At 44.1% G+C, this 3,527-nt stretch overlaps 1 annotated feature.

Moving 5' to 3' along the window:
- Positions 1,145-1,194: a silencer, noted in NCBI's record as "silent region_2302". NCBI's record gives its function as "represses an Ori minimal core promoter by ATAC-STARR-seq in GM12878 lymphoblastoid cells {active_cell/tissue: GM12878}" and the evidence as "EXISTENCE:reporter gene assay evidence [ECO:0000049][PMID:35858748]".

Raw genomic sequence — 3,527 nt, 5'->3', positions numbered from 1 at the left:
GAAGTATGTATGTATGTATGTGTATTTATTTTTAAATTAATATTGAGATGGATTAATGTTCTAAAATTTGGAATTTCTAACATTATCTTATTCATAATATCATATATCAAAAGTCTCTGAATAGAAATTGTTCAAAGGCATATAATCTAATTATCATTACCATGTCACTAATCTAACCTCTAAGTAATTGCTAAATGCCATCAGCACCTTCATCTCCAATTACATTTTCATGATATTTCAAGCTACAATAACAAAACAGATGCTGATCTCGGCATTACTAAGCAACAGGATATGTATACTTTTTAGAGTGTGAAAATATCACTGCTCTCCCACAGTTAATGATACTTATTTTCCAAGAACTTCTAGTGATATGATTATGCTCATCCAATTCCCATGAGGCCAACACTGTGATCACAGGTTACGATAAGAACTAAAATGCCACCCACAGCCATGTCTGAGTGACACGCAAAACGCTTTGAAACTCTTTTCCACTAGGTTTTTTTTTTTTTTTTTGAGACAGAGCCTCACTCTGTCACCCAGGCTGGAGTGCAGTGGCGTGATCTCAGCTCACTGCAAGCGATTATCCTGCTTCAGCTTCCCCAGTAGCTGGAACTACAAGCGCGTACCACCACATCCAGCTAATTTTTGTATTTTTAGTAGAGATGGGGTTTTGCCATGTTGGCCAGGCTGGTCTCGAACTCCTAACCTCAAGTGATCCACCTGGCTCGGCCTCCCAAAGTGCTGGGATTATAGGTGTGAGCCACCGCGCCTGGCCTCATTTTCCACTATGTTCTAACCACCTAAAATAACCCCTCATATGCAGTTAAAGCAAAACCGGTAATTTTGCTGAGAAAAGATGGATTCATTTTAAAGTCACTTACTTGCTAAAACTATGTGGCCTGGAAGTAATGTCTAAAGTTCTTATGTCAAATAATTCAATCTATTTGCAATTAACTGTGTACTCTTAGAGAAAACTCTATAGTTTAAGGATTCCCAAACCTTGTCAAATTATTGCCCCTCCCCCACAGTTAACCCAAGACTCCCCAGAGTTACTGTGAATATAATTCACCAAACTAGATCAGAGAAAACTGCCCTTAATCCCTTGCCCCCATAGGGCTTGGCATACACTTGGAGAGTCCATGGCAGAAAAGAAATACCACCCGTTGAGTTTTGAAATGTTCACAGACTAATGTTTCTAAGAAAATACGCCGTTTGGAAGTCACACATACACTAGGTGGCGCTGTGGCTGTGACATTAAACAGTCTGTGTGCTGGATAAATGCTGGGTAAGAGCATCCATGACTTAAAGGAAAATTAGGCTAGGCCCAACCCCAGATCATAGAGTTCAGTGTTCTCCAACACTAGAGTGCTTCAGAAACATGCCAGGAACTTGAGCCTGGCGTGGTGGTGGCACATGCCTGTGGTCCCAGCTATTCCGGGGGCTGAGGCAGGAGGATCGCTTCAGCTCAGGAGGTGGAGGCTGAGGTGATCTGTGATTGTGCCACTGCACTCCAGCAGGGGCAACAGAGCAAGACCCTGTCTCAAAAACAAACAAACAAACATGCAAGGAACTGGTTAAAAATACAAATTCCCAGACCTACTGAATGAAAATTCCAGAGGTATGGAACACAAAACAGAAGACACAAACAGGCACACTCATGCTATCCTCTCCCGGGCAGCCCACTTTCATCCAAAGCCTCCTTATTTGGGCTTCTCACCTCCTCAAAAGTCTATCAGTAGTGGCTGGGCTTAGTGGCTTATGTCTGTAATCCCAGCACTTTGGGAGGCCAAGGCGGGTGGATCCCCTGAGGTCAGGAGTTCGAGACCAGCCTGGGCAATATGGCGAAACCCTGTCTCTACTAAAAATACGAAAATTAGCTCAGTGTGGTGGCATGTGCCTGTAGTCCCAGCTACTCATGAGGCTGAGGCAGGAGGATCACTTGAACTCGAGAGGCGGAGGTTGCAGTGAGCCGAGATTGCACTACTGCACTCCAGCCTGGGCGACAGAGCAAGACTCTGTCTCAAAAAAAAAAAAAAAAAAAAAAAAAAAAAAAAAAAAAGGGTATCAATAGTAAACTGTGTTTTAAAAGGTAGGGTTCATTCCTAAGTTAAGCCTCACGCTGGTCTGCTGTAAGTCAGCGCTTCTGAGAGCTCCACAAACGTTGAAAGCAAGAGCTCTTGTACATCTTGTTAACAGCCTTTTGTCCTAGAAAATGACTGAACCACAGGTCAAGCATCCTTCATAAAGTGAGGTGGCTGAGATAGATCTGGCAGAGTTCCTGTGTCCTCCAGCTGTCACAGAGACCAGCTGGACTTTTGCATAGTAAGTGACGGGGTTTTCCTTCCAGCTTCCGTCCATTCAAACCACAGGGACAAATCCTTCCTCAGAAAGCTATGCTGCACAAAAGCTGGTTGAAAATCCAGTTTATAGAAAAATAGAGGCATCACAGTAATATAAAGATTATCACACTAGTTCAGAGATCTGAGTATTTCTAGTCTATTGTCAATAGCTGGCAATATTTAAGTAAATCAATCTGAAATTTGGTTTTCTTGTCTATAAAATGAAAGGAGTAAATTACACCTGTTGGTCAGTCTCAGTGGCTCATGCCTGTAACCCCAGCACTTTGGGAGGCCAAGGCAGGTGGATTACTTGAGCCTAGGAATTCAAGATCAGCCTGGACAACATGGCAAAACCCCGTCTCTACAAAAAAACACAAAAATTAGCCAAGCGTAGTGGCGCGTGCCTGTAGTTCCAGCTCCTTGGGAGGCTGAGGTGGGAGAATCGCTTGAGCCTGGGAGGCGGAGGTTGCAGTAAGCCAAGATCGTACCACTGCACTTCAGCCTGGGTGACCGAGCATGAGACTTTGTCTCAAAAAATAAATAAATAAAAATTAAAAAATTACACCGGTGAGACCTCTTTTAGCTGTAAGATTCTATTTCAATGAGCATAACTGTGACTTTGATGTTCCAATAGCTAGCTAGTCCTTAGTCCTTAAACTGTAGAGTCATTTTTTCCTGATCAGCATCAGGGATTTGAAAAACCAGAGAGGAGCGAAAATGTGCTTTTGTGCATTTGAACAGGAAGGTCTGGGTGTTCCCACACATAGCCACTCAGAGCCACAGAGCTCTCTCTCTCTGCAGCCACCACCTGCTTGAGTCATTGCCAGCAAGTGTTTCTTAACACTTTCCTGCCTTTGGGTCCAGACTGGGTGAGAACCGCCAGGACAGAGGCTTGCTGTCCTGGTTCTGCACTTGGTCCTGAGCCATGTGACCTTTGGCAAGCTACTGAACTTCTCTCCAAGCTTGCTTCCTCATCTGCAAAATGAGGATAATGGTAACAGCATCAACACTTGTTGGGCTGCTAGGAGAATTAAATGTGGAAGCCCCTTGGCGCAGGGTGAGCACTCTGTACACGGTAGCTGTTATTCTTGACTGCCATGACTACGTGGCTGTAGCATCTGTGGAGCTACATACACACCTGGAAGAAAGCAAGCCCAGGATGGTAACGTCAGGGTTGCCACAGCCCTA

Source organism: Homo sapiens, chromosome 10, assembly GCF_000001405.40.
Source record: "Homo sapiens chromosome 10, GRCh38.p14 Primary Assembly".
NCBI classification, from domain to species: domain Eukaryota; kingdom Metazoa; phylum Chordata; class Mammalia; order Primates; family Hominidae; genus Homo; species Homo sapiens.
Note: the sequence above shows the minus strand (reverse complement) of the source record. Positions and strands in the feature narration are given on the sequence as shown.